The sequence below is a fragment of the Homo sapiens genome, chromosome 3, assembly GCF_000001405.40.
Source record: "Homo sapiens chromosome 3, GRCh38.p14 Primary Assembly".
Lineage (NCBI taxonomy): Eukaryota > Metazoa > Chordata > Mammalia > Primates > Hominidae > Homo > Homo sapiens.
The window spans coordinates 49,460,122-49,480,219 of record NC_000003.12 but is presented as its reverse complement, the minus strand read 5'-3'; the positions used below and the strand labels follow the sequence as shown (position 1 = coordinate 49,480,219).

General features: G+C 51.6%; 1 protein-coding gene and 1 pseudogene across 55 annotated transcripts in view, besides 3 other annotated features; one reads left to right on the top strand and one right to left on the bottom strand.

Moving 5' to 3' along the window:
• Positions 1-11,272, bottom strand: part of DAG1 (dystroglycan 1) — a 66,668-nt gene extending 55,396 nt beyond the window's left edge. For 13 of the 55 annotated variants that reach the window (XM_047447557.1, XM_047447564.1, NM_001438884.1 and 10 more), the window contains exon 1: positions 9,787-9,953. The gene's annotated coding sequence lies outside the window, so the exon portion shown is untranslated. Of the gene's footprint in view, positions 1-3,314; positions 3,372-9,146; positions 9,256-9,330; positions 10,089-11,164 lie in introns of those variants that run through there. The other 42 variants (NM_001438880.1, NM_001438881.1, XM_047447567.1 and 39 more) reach the window with 17 other exon arrangements.
• Positions 9,535-10,274: a silencer, noted in NCBI's record as "silent region_14366". NCBI's record gives its function as "represses an Ori minimal core promoter by ATAC-STARR-seq in GM12878 lymphoblastoid cells {active_cell/tissue: GM12878}" and the evidence as "EXISTENCE:reporter gene assay evidence [ECO:0000049][PMID:35858748]".
• On the top strand, positions 12,992-13,105 carry RNA5SP130 (RNA, 5S ribosomal pseudogene 130; annotated as a pseudogene).
• Positions 14,967-15,467: an enhancer, noted in NCBI's record as "H3K27ac hESC enhancer chr3:49502186-49502686 (GRCh37/hg19 assembly coordinates)". NCBI's record gives its function as "activates a minimal SCP1, AML or CMV promoter by ChIP-STARR-seq in primed H9 embryonic stem cells {active_cell/tissue: H9 hESC(primed)}" and the evidence as "EXISTENCE:reporter gene assay evidence [ECO:0000049][PMID:30033119]".
• Positions 18,267-19,022: an enhancer, noted in NCBI's record as "H3K27ac-H3K4me1 hESC enhancer chr3:49498631-49499386 (GRCh37/hg19 assembly coordinates)". NCBI's record gives its function as "activates a minimal SCP1, AML or CMV promoter by ChIP-STARR-seq in naive H9 embryonic stem cells {active_cell/tissue: H9 hESC(naive)}" and the evidence as "EXISTENCE:reporter gene assay evidence [ECO:0000049][PMID:30033119]".

Sequence of the window (20,098 nt, the reverse complement as noted above, 5' to 3'; positions counted from 1 at the left end):
AGCACTTTGGGGGGCCAAGGCAGGTGGATTACGAGGTCAGGAGTTCGAGACCAGCCTGACCAACATACTGAAACCCAGCCTCTACTAAAAAAAAAAAAAAAAAATAGCCGGGTGTGGTGGTGCGCACCTGTAATCCCAGCTACTCAGGATGCTGAGGCGGGAGAATCGATTGAACCCGGGAGGCAGAGGTTGCAGTGAGCAGAGATCGAGCCACTGCACTCCAGCCTGGGTGACAGAGCGAGACTCAGTCTCAAAAAAAAAAAAAAAGAATGTTATATTCAGGCTGGCGCGGGGGCTCACGCCTGTAATCCCAGCACTCTGGGGGGCCGAGGCAGGTGGATCACGAGGTCAGGAGTTCGAGACCAGCCTGACCAACACACTGAAACCCCGTCTCTACTAAAAATACAAAAAAAAATTAGCCGGGTGTGGTGGTGCGCGCCTGTAATGCCAGCTACTCAGGATGCTGAGGCAGGAGAATCAATTGAACCCAGGAGGCGGAGGTTGCAGTGAGCAGAGATCGAGCCACTGCACTCCAGCCCAGGTGACAGAGGGAGACTCGGTCTCAAAAAAAAAAAAAAAAAAAAAAAAAAAGAAATGTTATATTCAGGCCGGCGCAGGGGCCTGAATCCCACGCCTGTAATCCCAGCACTTTGGGAGATCAAGACGGACGGGATCACCTGAGTTCAGTTCGAGACCAGCTTGGCCAACATGGTGAAACCCAGTCTCTACTGAATATATAAAAATTAGCTGGGTGTGGTGGCACGCACTTGTCGTCTCAGCTACTCAGGAGGCTGAGATAGGAGAATCACTTGAATCCAGGAGGTGGAGGTTGCAGTGAGCAGAGATCGAGCCACTGCACTCCAGCCTGGGCAACAGAGAGAGACTCTGTCTCAAAAAAAAAAAAAAATCTATACTCAAACTTGGTAAGAACACTGCCAAGGGCCATCTCTGGAGGAGACCCCAGGAATCAGGGGGGATCACAACTGTCTCTGGAAAGGTGAACAACAGGCTGAGGGGATAGATGGAAGGAAGGTTTCTTTCCCTCCTTTGTATAACCCTTTTGAACTTTTAATCAAGTTAGTACCATGTGTTGTATTCCCTATTTACAGAAAAAATAAAATGGGATGCCTCACGCCTGTAATCCCAGCACTTTGGGAGGCTGAGGTGGGAGGATCACAAGGTCAGGAGACCAGCCTGGCTAACATAGTAAAACCTCGTCTCTACTGAAAATACAAAAACTTAGCTCGGCGTGATGGTGGGCACCTGTAATCCCAGCTACTCAAGAGGCTGAGGCAGGAGAATCGCTTGAACCCGGGAGGCAGAGGTTGCAATGAGCCGAGATTACGCCATTGCACTCCAGCCCAGGCAACAGTGCAAGATTCTGTATCCAAAAAAAAAAAAAAAAAAAAAAAAAAAAGGGAGGGGACGACAAGAGACTTTTCATTTTTTTATTTTTTGAGCCAGGGTCTCACTTTGTCACCCAGTCTGGAGTGCAGTGGTGTGATTTGCTGTGATGAAAGCTCACTGCAGCCTCAACTCCTAGGCTAAGGCCCAGTGGCTCACATCTGTAATCCAGCAGTTTGTGAGGCTCAGGCAGATGAATCGCTTAAGCTCAGCAGTTCAAGGCCAGCGTGGGCAACATGGCAAAACCCTCTCTACAAAAAATTTAAAAAAAAAAAAAAAAAAAAAAAACTCTTGGGCTCAAAAGATGCCCCCACCTCAGCTTCCCGAGTACCTAGGGAACGTGCCACCACACTCAACTAATTTTTTTTTTTTTTTTTATTTTTTGTAGAGACAGGGTCTCTCTTTGTTGCCCAAGCTGGTCTCAAACTCCTGGCTTCAAGTAATCCTCCCACCTTAGCCTCCCAAAATGCTGGGATTACAGGCATGAGATCGGGCTCCTTTTCTCTTTTCTTTCCACTTTTTTTTCTTTTTTTTTTTTTTTTGAGACAGAGTCTCACTCCATCGCCCAGGATGGAGTGCAACAGCACGATCTCGGCTCACTGCAACCTCTGCCTCCCAGATTCAAGATTCAAACAATTCTCCTGCCTCAGCCTCCCAGGTAGCTGGGATTACAGGCGCACACCACCACGCCTGGCTAATTTTTGTATTTTTACTAGAGACAGGGTTTTACCATGTCGACCAGGCTGGTCTTGGACTCCTGACCTAAAATGATGTACCCGCCTCGGCCTCCCAAAGTGCTGGGATTACAGGTGTGAGCCACCACGCCCAGTCCTTTTCTTTCCACTTTTTTTTTGAGATGCAGTTTCACTCTTGTTGCCCAGGCTGGAGTGTGATGGCAGGATCTCAGCTCACTGCAACCTCCACCTCCCATGTTCAAGTGATTCTCTTTTCTCAGCCTCCCAAGTAGCTGGGATTACAGGCACCTGCCACCACGCCCAGCTAATTTTTGTATTTTTATCAGAGACAGGGTTTCGCCATGTTGGCCAGGCTGGTCTCAGACTCCTGACCTCAGTTGATCTGTGCACATCGGCCTCCCAAAGTGCTGGGATTATAGGTGTGAGCCACCGCACCCAGCCTCTTTCCACTTTTATCTTCCACACTACTTAAATGTATGTATTATCCAATAGAGCTTTTCCTCCACTATTAATGTTTTAAAATTCTAAGTCAGGTGCGGAGGCTCATGTCTATTAATCACAGCACTTTGAGAGGCTGAGGCGGGAGGATCGTTTGAGCCCAGGGGTTTGAGATCAGCCCAGACAACATAGTGAGTTCCCATCTCCACAAAAAGTTACAAAAATTAGCCGGGCATGGTGACATGCCCCTGTAGTCCCAGCTACATGGGAGGCCAAGGTGGGAGGATGGCTTGAGCCTAGGAGGTCAAGGTCTGCAGTGAGCTGTAATCATGCCACTGCACTCCAGCATGGGTGACAGACAGAGATCCTGTCTCAAAAACGAATAAGCTGGGCAGCGGTGGCTCACCCCTGTAATCCCAGCACTTTGGGAGGCCGAGGCGGGCAGATCACCTGACGTCGGGAGTTCGAGACCAGCCCGACCAACATGGAGAAACCCCGTCTCTACTAAAAATACAAAATTAGCTGGGCGCGGGGGCACATGCCTGTAATCCCAGCTACTTGGGAGGCTGAGGCAGGAGAATTGCTTGAACCCGGGAGGCAAAGGTTGCAGTGAGCCAAGATCACACCATTGCACTCCAGCCTGGGTGACAGAGCAAGACTTTGTCTCAAAAAAATAAATAAAAATAAATAAATATAATTCTGTGGTTATCATTTTGGCCAGTATGTGATTATTCCTCAACTTTCTTTTGCAGAAATGTCTCTTTTCAAGTACCTTACCTCACCTTCTAGTGCTAGGCTGCTTTAAAAGCCTTATCTTCCTGGAGAGCAGTGGCCCTGCAGGAAAAGGAGGAAACAATATTGGTGAATGCCCACAACTGAAATAGAATTATACCACACTGACCAACTCCAGAGGAAGTGGGGAATGCCACTGAGTCTCCTGCCCACACCACAAATTACTCACCCTTCTTTGTCAAAGGTCACAGTAAGAAAATGAAACATTTTCTGTACAGTCAATCCAGAACCAAAAATTATAAATAGTAAAATTAATTTCAGTGTATTTTAGACAGTGGTATTTTTTAAAACGATTAGCTCAAAAAGGTATAACTGAGAAGAAAAACCTCAACACTGCAAAACCTCAAACTTGGCTCACTGCAACCTCCACCTCCCAGGTTCAGGCAATTTTCCTGCCTCAGCCTACCAAGCAGCTTGGATTACAGGTGTGCGCCACCACGCCCAGCTAATTTTTGTATTTTTTAGTAAAGAAGGGGTTTCACCATGTTGGACGGGCTGGTCTCGAACTCCTGAGCTCAGGTGATCCACACGGCTCGGCCTCCCAAAGTACTGGGATTACAGGTGTGAGCCACTGCGCCCAGCCCAAAACCTCAACACCATTAAATGTATCTCATGACAAGCAAGATAAAAGACATTTGGTCATAAAAGTAATTTTTTAAATATGCAGCTGATTGTTCCAGTAGAATCCTGCTTTTAAAACATAAATATAAATTAAGTCAACATACTGCTAAAGTTCGTTCAGATTTAACCACTTCAACACAGAACACAGACCAGCTTCACCAACTTTGACACCCTCAGTTTATGATCTTCTACTAATGCATCTCATCCATCTTTCTACCCTGGACCCTGAGTAAAACTAAGAAAATGCTTAGCTATGGCCGGGTGCAGTGGCTCATGCCTGTAATCCCAGCACCTTGGGAGGCCAAGGTGGGCAGATCATGAGGTCAGGAGATCAAGACCATCCTAACACAGTGAAACCCCGTCTCTACTAAAAATACAAAAAATATATATATACATATATTAGCCAGGTGTGGTGGCGGGCACCTGTAGTCCCAGCTACTCGGGAGGCCGAGGCAGGAGAATGTCATGAACCCAGGAGGCGGAGCTTACAGTGAGCCAGGATCGCACCACTGCACTCCACACTCCAGCCTGGGTGACAGAGCAGACTCCGTCTCAAAAAAAAAAAAAAGAAAAAGAAAATGCTTAGCTATCAAACCTAAGAAATTGGAAAACAGAGAACCCTATTCCTTAAGGCTAAATTAAGTCTTCTGGCTGGTGTAATTTTGTAAGCTACTCTAAATTCCTATTTATAGAAATTGCTGGCTGGGCACGGTGGCTCATACCTGTAATCCCAGCTACTTGGGAGGCTGAAGCAGGAGAATCACATGAACCCAGGAGGTGGAGGTTGCAGGAGCCAAGATCGCGCCATGCACTCCAGCCTGGGCAACAGAGTGAGACTCCATCTCAAAAAAAAAAAAAAAAAAGCTGGCCAGGTGAGGTGGCTCACGCCTGTAATCCCAGCACTTTGGAAGGCCGAAGCAGGCGGATCACTTGAGGTCGGGAGTTTGATACCAGCCTGACCAACATGGAGAAAACCTGTCTCTACTAAAAATACAAAATTAGCCAGGCATGCTGACGCATGCCTGTAATCCCAGCTACTCGGGAGGCTGAGGCAGGAGAATCACTTGAACCCAGGAGGTGGAGGTTGCAGTGAACCAATATCGCACCATTGCACTCGAATCTGGGTAACAAAAGCGAAACTCCATCTTAAAAAAAAAAAACCGGGCACGGTGGCTCACGTCTGTAATCCCAGCACTTCGGGAGGCCGAGGCAGGCAGATCAAGAGGTCAGTAGATCGAGACCATCCTGGTTAACACAGTGAAACCCCGTCTCTACTAAAAATACAAAAAAATTAGCTGGGCGCGGTGGCGGGCGCCTGTAGTCCCAGCTACTCGGGAGGCTGAGACAGGAGAATGGCATGAACCTGGGAGGCGGAGCTTGCAGTGAGGCGAGATCATGCCACTGCACTCCATGCAGCCTGGGTGACAGAGCGAGACTCCGTCTCAAAAAAAAAAAAAAACTAATTAATTAATTAATTTTAAAAAAAAGGCCAGGCATGGTGGCTCAGGCTTGTAATCCCAGCACTTTCGGAGGCTGAGGAAGGCAGATTGCTTGAGCTCAAAAGTTCGAGACCAGCCTGGGAAACATGGAGAAACCCCACCTCTACAAAAAATACAAAAATCAGGGCGGTGCGCAGTGGCTCGTGCCTGTAATCCTAGCATTTTGGGAGGCCAAGGAGAGTGGATCACCTGAGGTCAGGAGTTCGAGATCAGCCTGGGCAACATGGCAAAACCCCATCTCTACTAAAAATACAAAAATTAGCCAGGTGTGGTGGTGCATGCCTGTAATCCCAGCCACTTGGGAGGCTGAGGCAGGAGAATCACTTGAACCCAAGGGGCAGAGGTTGCAGTGAGCCAAGATCGCACCACTTCACTCCACACTGGGCAAAGGAGCGAAACTCCACCTCAAAAAAAATTAGCCGGGTGCGGTGGCTCACGCCTGTAATCCCAGCACTTTGGGAGGCCGAGGCGGGCAGACCACAAGGTCAGGAGATGGAGACCACCCTGGCTAACATGGTGAAACCCCATCTCGACTAAAAATAAAAAAAATCAGCCGGGTGTGGTGGCATGCGCCTGTAGTCCCAGCTACTCGGGAGGGCAAGACAGGAGAATCACTTGAACCCAGGAGGCGGAGGTTGCAGTGAGCCGAGATCATACCACTGCACTCCAGCTTCGGCAACAGAGCAAGACTCGGTCTCAAAAAATATATACATATATTAGCCAGGAGTGATGGCGTGCGCCTGTGGTCCTAGCTACTCAGGATGCTGAGGTGGGAGGATTGCTTGAGCCAGGGAGGCTGGTCGAGGCTGCAGTGAGCCAAGATCCCACCACTGCACTCCAGCCTGGATAACAGAGTGAGACTCTGTCTCAGAAGAAAAAAAAAAAAAGGCCAGGCGCAGTGGCTCACGCCTGTAATCTCAACACTTTGGGAGGCTGACGCGGGCGGATCACCTGAGATCAAGAGTTCAAGATTAGGCTGGCCAACATGGTGAAACCCCATCTCTACTAAAAATGCAAAAAATTAGCCTGGCGTGGTGGCAAGTGCCTGTGATCCCAGCTACTCGGGAGGCTGAGGCAGGAGAATTGCTTGAACCTGGGAGGCGGAGGTTGCAGTGAGCCAAGATCACGCCACTTTATTCCAGCCTAGGTGATGTGACAGAGCAAGACTCCGTCTCAAAAAAAAAAAAGGAAGAAAAGAAATGAAATATGCTCTCAACTGCCTCCACAAGGATGAACACACATTGTCTCTCACGGGTTAAGATGCCTGCTGTGCGCAAGAGGAAATGCAGTACCCCAGGTTCAAGTAGGAGATAAAGTTTTGTGTTTTTTTTGTGTTTTTTTTTTGTTTTGAGACGGAGTCTCGCTCTGTCGCCCAGGCCGGACTGCAGTGGCGCTATCTCAGCTCACTGCAAGCTCCGCCTCCCGGGTTCACGCCATTCTCCTGCCTCAGCCTCCAGGAGAATGAGTAGCTGGGACTACAGGCGCCCGCCACCCCACCTGGCTAATTTTTTGTATTTTTAGTAGAGACAGGGTTTCACCGTGTTAGCCAGGATGGTCTTGATCTCCTGACCTCGTGATCCACCCGCCTCAGCCTCCCAAAGTGCTGGGATTACGGGCGTGAGCCACCGCGCCTGGCCAGTTGTTTTGTTTTATTTTTTATTTTTTTTGAGACCGAGTTTTGCTCTTGTCACCCAGGCTTTCAGCTCACTGCAACCTCCGCCTCCCGGGTTCAAGCGATTCTCCTGTCTCAGCCTCCCGAGTAGCTGCGATTAAAGGCGCCCGCCACCATGCCTGGCTAATTTTTGTATTTTTTAGTAGAGACGGGGTTTCACCATGTCGGCCAGGCTGGTCCTGAACTCCTGACCTCAGGTAATCCACCTGCCTCAGAATCCCAAAGTGCTGGGATTACAGGCGTGAGCCACCACGCCCTGCCTGGAGATAAAGTTGTTTTTTGTTTTGTTTTTGAGACGGAGTCTCGATCTGTGGCCCAGGCTGGAGTGCAGTGGCTCTATCTCAACTCACTGCAAGCTCCGCCTCCCGGGTTCACGCCATTCTCCTGCCTCAGCCTCCTGAGTAGCTGGGACTACAGGTGCCCACCACCACGCCCGGCTAATTTTTTGTATTTTTAGTAGAGAGGGGGTTTCACCGTGTTAGCCAGGATGATCTCGATCTCCTGACCTCGTGATCCGCCCGCCTCGGCCTCCCAAACTGCTGGGATTACAGGTGGGAGCCACCATGCCCGGCGATAAAGTTTTTAATAATCAAATGCCAGGCCTCCTTTCCTATGCATCGACGGCAGTCTAAGTGGTCCCTAAGTGGTCCCTCCAAATCCCACCATCCTCAACACTAACCAGACACAAGCAACTCTGTAGGTCACTATACCAGGTAGTCAACAAGGAATTTAAATCCTTGGTTATGCTTGGTCTTCTGGCCCATGCATTCCAGAATGTAGCTCCTCCCCCATCATGGCAGGACATCCCCTCTGTACTACCTTTTCAGTCTCTCTTTTCTGATGGCTCCTTCTCCCTCCCCACCTCTCCTCTGTTAGCTGACTTAACTGCCAGAGGTCCTGACCCCCTCCCTCTTCCTGCCACTCCACCAGCAATATCTTTCTAAACACAGGTCTGGGTCACACCACTCTACTGATTAAAAGGCTCCCCAGACTCCTGCACCCCGCATACAAAGTTGGAACTCCTGAGCACAAGGCAGGCCCAGAGCTCGCACCTGCCAAGCTGGAGGACTCCCAAGCACTATTTTAGGTGCTCATGTACATGTGGTTCCCTGTGTCCAGGCCTTGATGTCCCCCACTAATTCCTGCTGGCCCTGAAAACCACAGCTCAGGAATTCCCTCTCTCCTCAGGCTACTATGTGAGCACGCTTAGCGGGCAGACACTATTAATCATGGGTTCCCTGGTCCCCACTGCCCCCTAAACTGAATTCCTTAAGGGCAGAAGCAGACTCTTTTACATGGGTCCCTAGGATCTACCACAGAATTTGGCAGGTAGTGAATCAAAATATTTGTTCAAATGAATAAATGCATTTTGCAAAATCAATTTTTAAGAACAGTGAGGATTTGCACTGTGCCTCTTTTAACAAAAGCACATGTCAGCACAAGCTTTTATATCCCATAGGGTCTTCACATGATGGATCCAACTCCCTACTGAAATCTGATTTCTCCAAAATACAGGACACAGGCCATGAGCTCTTCTTCCTTAGTTCACAGCAAAAAAAACCCACAAAAGTTCAACTAAACTTCTCCATACTCAAACTATGGATTTTTATGCCTCCAAAATGTAGTACGGTTGAATTCTTTTTTAGAACAGGAACATTCCAAAATAATGTCTCTGAACTTAACTAAGCATAGAACCTGATAAAACTGCAATACCCCATCTACACCAGACTTTGCAAAACACCTGAAAGCACATCCAGCTCTTTATCTGGAATTATGTCCTATAAACACCACCTTCCCTTCACGGAGTCTGGCTTCTATGCCAGGAGTCACTTCTACTCGCTTATTTAGGGAAGCAGCAGGCTAGAATCTTAAGTTAGACTCTGCGCTATGAAGGTGCTGTCCCAGGCTCTTGCCTCAACCAGTCAAAACTTCATCGTCACCATTAAAACTAATTCTGAAGCAACTCGATTTACAAAAATAAGAACTTTTCAAGTTATAGAGATTAAAGGATGCATTTTAAGTTACCAGTTGAGTTTGTAGGAAACTAACTTAGAATTTATGGCAAAAAGATTCCAAGCCGAGACGACATTTTCTGTGGAGACACTATCCAAATACACTCGCAGGTGAACCAGGTCTGCCAAATACAAAGTGAAAAGGTAGTAAGTAAACAAGCTTCCAAAGGAGCTCAAGTAAGGATGACGGAACCCACCAAGGCTCTGAGCAGCTCTGACAGAGCAGTGGCGGCAGCGGTGCCCTTCCCTGCCTCTAGCGGGGCTCGACTCCCCACAGTCGGAATCCGGCCCAACTGGGCCACAACCCCTATTGGAAGCCAGGGAGGCGGCCCGCAGGCGGCTCACGACCGCGGCCAAGGCGCAGGCTCCACGTTCCCGGGAGCGCGGGCCGAGCTAAGGCCTGGCCCATCGCCGCGGCGCGCGGCCCGGGCCTTGCAGCCGAACGCTCCGAGCCTTTGCCTGCGGGACCCAGAGCAAAGGGGCGGCTCCGCCCGGGCGGCACCGCCTCCTCACCCACAAGGACGTCCGCGGCCGTGTCCCCGCCCCGGGCCGAACAGCGAGCAGCAGCAGGTGTTCCGCGGAAGGCTCAGCCGGCAGCAGGGATGGGGGCCCAAGCAGCCAGGCACAGCGGATAGGGCGGGCGGTGCACTCACCCAGCGCCGGCGGGAGGACCGCGGCAGGTGTTCGCTCCTCCTGGCCCCAGGACGCCGCCACCGCCGCTCCCCGGGGATTCGGCGCGAAGCTGCCGCCGCCGCCACCGCCAAGCCTAAGAGGCGCGAGCGCCGCGCCGCAGCCTTCGCGCGAGCACGTACCGGGCGGTGAGAGGGCGCTGAGCGCAAGGGCGGGGCGCGCGGCCGGAGCCTAGCAACCGCCTGACACGCGAGTGTTGCAGCCAATCCAGCGGCCAGCTCCGCGCGGCGCCGACTGGCTGTCCGCGCGCCGCCGGCTTCTGCCTGCGTCGGCCGCTCCGCAGCGCGCCGCACCCGCGCGCAAGCCCCGCCCCGGCCAGCACCTCTCTGCTCATTGGCTAGCCACTCCCCCGCCCTAAAAGTCACGCCCCATTATGGAAGCCTCGCCCCCACGGCCAGGGAAGTCCGTCCCGGGACACACCCCGGCGGTCGGTCCCGGTCACTCGGAGCCTTCAGAACCAGTAGTGTGGGGGAGGGGCTCCCCGCCCAACTTCAGGCCTTTGGGCCTCTAAGACTAATCAAGGGACAGTCAGGACTGCGAACTGGCCCAGCAACTGGCCACCCGTCGACTGCGTTCAGCCCTCCTTATTTCCTTCGAATGCAAATCAAGGGGTATTTCTAAGCCATGAGAACAATCAGGAAGCGTTCTCTCAATTGCAAAGGATGAAAGCCTTGCTGCCCGGCCCTTACACGGATGGGAGACTGAGGCCAGGGACAGGAGGAGCGGGAAGCTAGCTCATCTCCTAGAGCCTCGCCCACAGCAGGCTGGGGAGTCGGAAAGCGCCTCAGGCCTAACCCTCGTCCCCTCCCCCTGCCTGGAACACTGGAATCCGACGCCTGCTCTCCTGCCCAAAATAGCTCTAACTCGCAGGCGCTGGTCACTCACTCCTAGTGGCCTGCATTCTTTTGGTGGGGGAAGAAATAAGAGAGGGGGGTTGCTGCCTGGAACATTCAAGGGGAGGGTCCTAAGGTAGCTCTAGCTCTCCCCAGGACTTAACCTGCAGCCCCCCACCCCAAAAGCCCCAGACTTCACAGTTACTGAAACTGACAGTTACCGGATGGGTCTGGGAATGAGACCCGTGGTGGGCTCTGCTTCTCATCCCCACACCATGCGCAGGATGGGTCCATTCCCTCCTTGGCCTGTGGCCAGGCTGGAATTCCAGGCCTGCACTCTTGACAGCAAGCACATTCTGAACACAGAACTGGCTGCCACCAGCCATGGTTTCCTCCCTGGATCCCGGAGAGCTCTGGGGCTCCCTGGCTTTCCCTCCCTCCTCAGGAGCGTCTGGGAGATGCAAGTTGCAGAGATAAGAAAGGAATGCCCCATCTCCCAAAAACATACCTTTTTGCAATTATCTATACTTCAGTGTCTCGGCTCCAAACCTCATTCACAGAGACAAGAAAAGGAAGGGGCTAGGTGCTGTGCTCCCGCCTGTAGTCCCAGCACTATGGGAGGCCGAGGCAGGTGGATGGATAGCTTGAGCTCAGGAGTTCAAGACCAGCCTGGGCAACGTGTCGAAACCCCGCCTCTGCAAAAAAAGTACCAAAAAAAAAAAATTTTGACCAGCCGCGGTGGCTCACACCTGTAATCCCAGCACTTTGGGAGGCCAAGGCGGGTGGATCACCTGAGGTCAGGAGTTTGAGACCAGCCTGACCAACAACGTGAAACCCCGTCTCTACTAAAAATACAAAAAATAGCCGGGCATGGTGGCAGACGCCTGTAGTCCCAGCTACTCGGGAGGCGGAGACAGGAGAATCACGTGAACCCAGGAGGCAGACGTTGCAGTGAGCCGAGATCATGCCACTGAACTCCACCTGGGCAACAGAACAAGACTCTGTCTCAAAAAATAAAAATTAAAAATAAAATTGGCCAAGCGGGGTGGCACATGACCTGTGCTCCCAGCTACCTGGGAGGCTGAGGTGGGAGGATTGCTTGAGACCAGGAGGTTGAGACTGCAGTGAGCGGGTGTTCACACCACTGCACTCCAGCCTATGCAATAGAGGGAGACCCTGTCTCCAAAAAAAAAAAAGGGGGGGCTAACCATGCAGAAAATTATTTATTTGGGTTTCTAAGCAAAATATATTCTATTCTCTCATTCACTCCTTTGGCTCTGAGAGTGCACCACCTACCCCACCACCGTGCACTGCTTTGCAGCCATACGTTCTGCTGCATATTTTAGTGTCTGACTATATAGTTTTACATCTCAGGTCTGTAATTCCAGCACTTTGGGAGGCCAAGGAGGGTGGATCTCTTGAGCCCATGATTCAAGACCAGTCTGGACTATATAGTGAGACAGCATCTCTACAAAAAAATTTTTTAAATTAGCCAGGTGCTTGAGCTTTGGAGATTAAAACTGCAGTGAGCCATGATCACACCACTGCACTCCAGCCTGGGCAACAGAATGAGACCCTGTCTCAAAAAAAAAGAAAGAGGCCAGGCGTGGTGGCTCACGCCTGTAATCCCAGCACTTCGGGAGGCCAAGGCGGGTGGATCACGAGGTCAGAAGATCGAGACAATCCTGGCTAACACGGTGAAACCCCGTCTCTACTAAAAATACAAAAAAAATTAGCCGGGCGTTGTGGCATATGCCTGTAATCCTAGCTACTCGGGAGGCTGAGACAGGAGAATTGCTTGAACCAGGGAGGCGGAGGTTGCAGTGAGCCGAGTTCACACCACTGCACTCCAGCCTGGGCAACAAGAGGGAAACTCTGTCCCCCCTCAAAAAAAAAAACGGCAGGAGGCTTGGCTGACCAGACCTGAACAAGCCACTTAGGAGGCCTAACCACCTCCCACCAGAACCCAACCAGCCCCCACTGGAGTCCATACCAAAGATGACACAGAAATAGCTGTCTTCATGGTCCCCTAGACTGGCTAGGGGCTGTAAAGTTAAGGCCTTGTTACTCTCTTTAGTTCTAAGAGTCAAAGCCTTTACCCTCAGTGGGAACTGCACAGCCTACTCTAGAGTTCAGCACAAGGTCCCCAGTAACTCACCTTCCAAACCCCAGCAGAGCCTAGGCCACTCCAGGCCAGGTTTGGTGCTCACAACCAGTTGGAGGGCAGAACCAAAAATGAGGTCTGGGCCAGGCTCAGTGGCTCATACCTGTAATCCCAGCACTTTGGGAAACTAAGGCAGCTGGATCGTTTGAGCTCAGAAGTTCAAGAGCTGTCCATGGCCATACCACCCTGAATGCACCCAAGCTCGTCTGATCTCAGAAGCTAAGCAGGGTTGGGCCTGGTTAGTACTTGGATGGGAGAAGTTTGAGACCAGACTGCGCAACATGTTAGCAAGACCCCCATCTCTACAAAAAATTAAAAAATTAGCAAGGCATATGGCACCCACCTGTGGTCCCAGATACTCAGGAGGCTGAGGTGGATCACTTGAGCCTGGGAGGTGGAGGTTGCAGTGAGCTGCAGTCATGCCACTGCACTCCAGCCAGGTGACAGAGTAAGATCCTGACTCAAGAAAAAATAAAAAGGCTGGGCGCGGTGGCTCATGCCTGTAATCCCAACACTTTGGGAGGCTGAGGTGGGTGGATCACGAGGTCAGGAGTTCCAGACCAGCCTGACCAATATGGTGAAATCCCTTCTCTACTAAAAATATGAAAATTAGCCAGGCGTGGTGGTACACACCTGTAATCCCAGCTACTCAGGAGGCTGAAGCAGGAGAATCACTTGAACCCAGGAGGCAGAGGTTGCAGTGAGCTAAGATTGCACCACTTCGCTCCAGCCTGGGCAACAGAGTGAGACTCCGTCTCAAAAAAAAAAAAAGAAAGAAAGAAAGAAAAAAAAAAATGAGGCCTGGGTTACTCCCAGGAGCAGCTACTCAAAGGACCCATGTGGTATGGAATGGGGAGGACTGATCAAGAGGCAAAGAATGAGGATCTTCGGGCCTGTCAGTCCCCAACTCTCTTGGGCCTTCAGCCCCCAGTGTTTCATCCACATAGACCCTCAACCTGAGGATTCAGGAAGATTATCTGATTAAGGTTTGTCTCCTCCACTGAAGTATGAGCCCTTGATGCTAGAGACCAACTTGCTTGGCCCCACATAGCAACCACCACCTAACAGCAAGTGGCAGATAGCAGAGGCTCAATTTTGGTTTTGGAAGGAAGGAAGCAAGTTGCTACTCCAAAGGTCCATGCCCTGTGCAAAGCCCAAGGCAAATGTCCTAGTGTTTGCTTGGGGCTCATGTGACTTAAACTAAGACCTTGATTTTAGTTAGAACAAATCCAAGGGACATTACGTGGACCAAACTTTCTGATGGTCCTAGGATTCCAGGGCTTTTTACCCTGGCGTGTTTCTGAGAAGCTGAGGGTCAAGGACCAGTGCTCATCCTCAGATTCTTCCCAGGGGAGGGAGGCCTCTGCTGCTGATTCCTCTCCAGGCCTGACAGAGAGGGGCAGGGGCTGGTGCTGGTCAAGGGTGGAGGCTCCTGACCCAAATGCCAGGCCCACAGGCCTGCCTGAGGCAGAGGGCTAGCAAGCAGGGCCAGCCAAGTCACGGCAAGGGAGGAGTCCCTTTTGTCTGGATTTAACAGAAGGCTGATTGTTTGGCAGCTCTGGCAGAAAGAAAGGACTGATAAGTTCATCCGAGATAAACTGCCAGTAGGCGTGTTTGTGGGTCACCACCAGCCTTCCCAGAAGCCAGTTCCTCCCCTTGCAGGGCCCTCCACTCCAGCACTTCCACCAGACCCCTCCATACATGGCTGGCAAAGAGCATTCCTCCAGTCAACTGGGCCACAGCTTCCACACCTGTCCCTCTAGGAACAGAGAGTCCTATGGGGCAGGAACCCCATAGCAAGGGGGACTGTTGGTTGAATAAATAAAAGACACCTTTCTTTTTTTGAGATGGAGTTTCGCTGTTGTTGCGAACTCCCAACCTCAGGTGATCCGCCTGCCTCAGCCTCCCAAAGTGCTGGGATTGCAGGCGTGAGTCACCGCACCCGGCCTATTCTTTTTTTTTTTTTTTGTGACAAAGTTTCGCTCTTGTTCCCCAGGCTGGAGTGCGATGGCGCAATCTCGGCTCACTGCAACCTTCGCCTCCCGAGTTCAAGCGATTCTCCTGCCTCCACCCCCAGAGTAGCTGGGATTACAGGCGCCTGCCATCACGCCCAGCTAATTTTTGTATTTTTAGTTGAGACGGGGTTTCACCATGTTAGCCAGCCAGGCTGGTCTCAAACTCCTGACCTCAGGTGATCCATCCGCCTTGGCCTCCCAAAGTGCTGGGATTATAGGCGTGAGCCACCGCGACTGGCCTTCTTTATTTTTATTTTATTTATTTATTTTTTTTAAACATTCTCCCTCTGTCACCCAGGCTGGAATGTAGTGGCGCAATCTTGACTCACTGCAACTTCTGCCTCCTGGGCTCAAGTGATTCTCCTGCCTCAGCCTCCTGAGTAGCTGGGAATACAGGCGCAGGGCCTGCCACCATGCCTGGCAATTTATTTATTTATTTATTTAATCTTTTTTTTTTTTTTTGAGACCGAGTCTTGCTCTGTCGCCCAGGCTGGAGTGCAGTGGTGCGATCTCGGCTCACCGCAAGCTCCGCCTCCCGGGTTCACGCCATTATCCTGCTTCATCCTCCCGAGTAGCTGAGATTACAGGCGCCCACCACCACGCCCAGCTAATTTTTTGTATTTTTAGTGGAGACAGGGTTTCACCGTGTTAGCCAGGATGGTCTCGATATCCTGACCTCGTGATCCACCCTCCTCTGCCTCTCAAAGTGCTGGGATTACAGGCGTGAGCCACCGCGCCGGGCCAATATTTATTTATTTATTTATTTATTTATTTATTTATTTATTTATTTATTTATTTGAGACGAAATCTCACTCTGTGGCCCAGGCTGGAGTTCAGTGGCTCCATCTCTGTTCACTGTAACCTCCGCCTCCCGGGCCCAAGCGATTCTCCTGCCTCAGCCCCCTGAGTAGCTGGGATTACAGGCGCCCGCCACCACGCCCGGCTAATGTTTTTTTTTTTTGAGGCGGAGTCTTGCTCAGTCACCCAGGCTGGAGGGCAGTGGCGCGATCTCGGCTCACTGCAACCTCTGCCTCCCAGGTTCACGCCATTCTCCTGCCTCAGCCTCCTGAGTAGCTGGGACTACAGGCACCCGCCACTATGCCCAGCTAATTTTTTTTGTTTTTTTGTATTTTTAGTAGAGACGGGATTTCACCGTGTTAGCCAGGATGGTCTCCATCTCCTGACCTTGTGATCAGCCCATCTTGGCCTCCCAAAGTGCTGGGATTACAGGCGTAAACCACCACGCCCGGCTTCTAATTTTTGTATTTTTACTAGAGACGGAGTTTCACCATGTTAGCCAGGCTGGTCTTGAACTCCTGACCTCAAGTGATCCGCCCACCTTGGCCTCCCAAAGTGCGGGGATTACAGGCATGAGCCACTGCACCTGGCCTCAGCAGGGGCTTATTCTTTACATGTACACACTGGAGAACGTGACTGATTAGCTAACATTCACCTTTTATTCCTTTATTAGTTCACCTCAAGATGGCCGGAGGACTGCTCTCATTCATCCCAGAAATGTCGAGGATTCCCTACACTAGAGATAGGGCTCTCAGAGGCCCTTCCTGTCTCTGTCAGCACTCAGCCTAGAGGCAAAAGCTATATTTTCACCTGGATCCAACACTTTCCAGTGTTTCAGGGGCATACTCATCAGCCATGACAGCAGGGTCAGAGTCAGTGTTTGCTTGGTGGCCCATCAATGTCTCTGACTAAAGGGCCACTGAGGGGTGCCCAGGCCAATGAGAAGGACAGGCCCAAATAAGATCTAGCCAGCTCTGAAAGAGGTGTTTCTGCCCTAGAAAAGCCCCTGATTGACCCCTGAGCCAGATTTGGACTGACATGTGATGGAGAAGAGAACAATTCTGCTAAACTGGACGAATATGGGTGGTGTCCCCCACGACTTTGGGTTTAGGGGCTAGCTGGTCAGTAACTGAAGAGAATGAACAAACAGACCCCCTACCTTTGCTTGCTTCCACTGACTGCCTGGCTAGACTAAACCTAATCTAGTGTTTAGTCCAGCGCTCAAGGCCACAGACACAGTGTTTTGGGAATAGCCATGCAAAGTCAGTCTTGGGGGACTATCTTATCCCAGAGCCAGCAGGGAGCTGAATGTAGCTAAGGGAGGGGGCATTGGACATGTATGTCCACCCACGGGGAAAGGTGTTTTTTGGCCAGGTGTGGTGGCTCATGCCTGTAATCCCAGCACTTTGGGAGGCCGAGGCGGGCGGATCACCTGAGGTCAGGAGTTCGAGACCAGCCTGACCAACATGGAGAAACCCTGTCTCTACTAAAAATACAAAATTAGCCGGGCGTGGTGGCCTATCCCTGTAGTCCCAGCTACTTGGGCAGCTGAGGCAGGAGAATCGCTTGAACCCAGGAGGCAGAGGTTGCAGTGAGCCGAGACCACGCCACTGCACTCTAGCCTGGGCACTGGGCAACAAGAGCGAAACTCCATCTCAAAAAAAAAAAAAAGAATAAAGAATAAGCCCCTGCTGGCTAGGCACGGTGGCTCACGCCTGTAATCCCAGCACTTTGGGAGGCAGAGGAGGGTGGATCACGAGGTCAGGAGATCGAGACCATCCTGGCTAACACGGAACACGGTGAAACCCCGTCTCTACTGAAAATACAAAACATTAGCCGGGCGTGGTGGCGGGCGCCTGTAGTCCCAGCTACTCAGGAGGCTGAGGCAGGAGAATGGCGTGAACCCGGAAGGCAGAGCTTGCAGTGAGCCGAGATCATGCCACTGCACTCCAGCCTGGCGACAGAGTGAGACTCCGTCTCAAAAAAAAAAAAAAAGAATAAGCCCCTGCTGAGACTCAGAGCCGAGTTCACTGTATGACTTTGCAAAGCTGCTTGCCCTCTCTAAGCCCCTTGGTCACCTCATCATCAAGTGACCTCATATGTGGGCTGTGGCCCTGTCTGCTCACTAAAAATGACAGAAGACCAGATTATGTGACTGAGTCACGGCCAGGGTGAAACATCCATCCATGCCTTGTTGAATCCACAGATATTTACTGAGTCTATTGTATGCTAGGAACACAGGAAGAAATAAAAGGGACAAGCCCTTCCCTTGTGGAGCCCAAATTCCAGACAAATAAGACAGTAAATAAAATAAGTAAATACAAATGTAATAATCAGGTAGTTACAAAGGGGATGAGAGGGAAGGGGGGAACCAGGGTGTACTGTGTGGTGCAGAACATTTGAGAAATCCACTCTTTGAAGGCAGAGCCTATAGGAGGTGAACACGGAGGAAACCCTGGGGTTTTCTGGAGAGTGAATGGAATAAGCCTAGAGAAAGGCCACAGTGAAGGCTTAGGAGAAAGTGGGCAGGGCAGGCCTGAAAGATCTTGGAAATCCCCAAGGCCTGAGCAGTGAATGGAGTGGTGATAAAGGAGAGAAAGCAACAGATGGGAGAGCAGGCACCAGCACTATATTTAACCAGGCTGGGCTTTGCCAGAAAGGTAGGATCCCAGGAGCAAGGGGCATGGTAGCTGAAAGATGGGAGCAAGGAGGAGGAGGAGGAGGAGAAGGAGGGTGGGAGGGCCAGGGCAGGCAGTGCCCTCAGGCCTCCAGGAAGGAATGCAGTTGGGTGAGGGGTGAGGGGACAGCAGCTGAGCTCCAGGCTTGCAGCCCTTCTTTCCCCTGTAGGTGGGAAAAGAAAGGTGGGAGCACAGAGGAGGGGTTGGGGAGGAGAGAGCAGGCAGAGTGGAGGCAGAGATGGGGGTCATGTGGAGGAGGGGCAACAGGCATCAGGGAAGTCAAGTCAGAACAAGCATTTAGAGAGAAAATTTCTCACTTGTCCTTCCTCCACCTTCCCTGGAATGCAGAGAGGCCACTCCCCTCCTTCCAGCCCCAGGAGAGAAAGGTCAAAGGGGAAGGGACATGGTGGAGGAAGGGCTCCCTTGGGCCTGGATATACTCCTGGTATACTCAGTATGTAAGGACTTCAGGGGAGACCCAGCATGGCCCATCAGAGAGGGCCCAGCGTCAACTGCCTGGGGAAAGGAAACCCATGGACTGGGCCAATGGCAGAGGTGGGAGAAAGGAGAGAGTGGAGAGGAGAGGGTAGCTGGGGAGCAGGGAGCAGTTGGGGAAGGTCCTGCCTTAAGATGGATTCCAGGGCAAACCCCCACCTACCTCCCCCAGAGCTACTGCTTGACACAAGCATGCTGGAGGCCTTCAGGACAGGTGTAGGGTCACCTGGTAGGCACAAAGCCCAGGCCAGCTGTCCCATCCATCTCTGGGATGCTCTGGGCCGGTGACCCTCAAACGTCCCTCCCAGCAGCTGTCACTTAACCAAGCTGGACAGAATTTCTGGCTGGGGTCGCCCACGAATATGTGTGACCCTCAGGAAAAGGTCTATGTCCATCAGATGAGTTAACTATGCTGGACCTGGCAGGGGACCCCAGGGACTAGGAAGGCCTGGAGTGGGAAGTATTAGGGGCTGAGCTCAGAACTGGCGTTTAAGGTAAGAAAGAGAGAGACCCCAGCTTGAAGCCCAGGTTGTGGGCCTTCAGGGGTGGGCATGACTGGCTATAGCATGGTAGTGGCTCTCTGCAGAGGCACTCACATGTCCCCAGTGCCATACAAAAACCCATTCATGGTGTGTGGAGGGTTTTTCTAGAAAAGGTTAAAAGAAATATTTCATCATCTCCATGCCCTGGGATACTTAAAAGAATGTAGCAGCTGATATAAAGGTGAGGACATGTAGGTGTGAGGAAGGCTGCTCCAGGGCCCAGCAGCTGCTCCTCCTACCTTGGGGAAATCCCAGGGAGAAAGCCTGGTCTCAGCTGACCCCCTATTCTTCCTCTGCCCAAAACCCCCCTATACTCACTCTGCTGCCTGGGGCTCTCAGCAATTTGTTCAAGGTCAGCAGCACTGAGGCCCTGGCCGGCAGAGAAGTGGGAAATCTCAGGCCTCCTCAGGACACCTACAACCACTGGGAACAGACTTGTTTCTAGTAAGCCCCACTGAGCTCACAGGAGGCAGAGCTCAGGGATGCCCAGGCCCACTTGCTGTCACAGTCAAGGTCTTACCCAGGGTCAAGGCCCCAAGGGCTGGGTGTGCACAAGCAGGTGCGCTGGTGCCTGCCTCTGACTGACTGGGGCCTTGGGCAAAGACTTCTCTCTGTATCCTTTCCCCCTCTGACTCCTGTGGACCAGAGCTTTCCAAAGGGCCCTTAGGAATCCTAGGTTCTGTTTGTTTGGTTTTTTTTAGAGGGTGTCTCACTCTGTCGCCCAGGCGGGAGTGCAGGCACAATCTCGGCT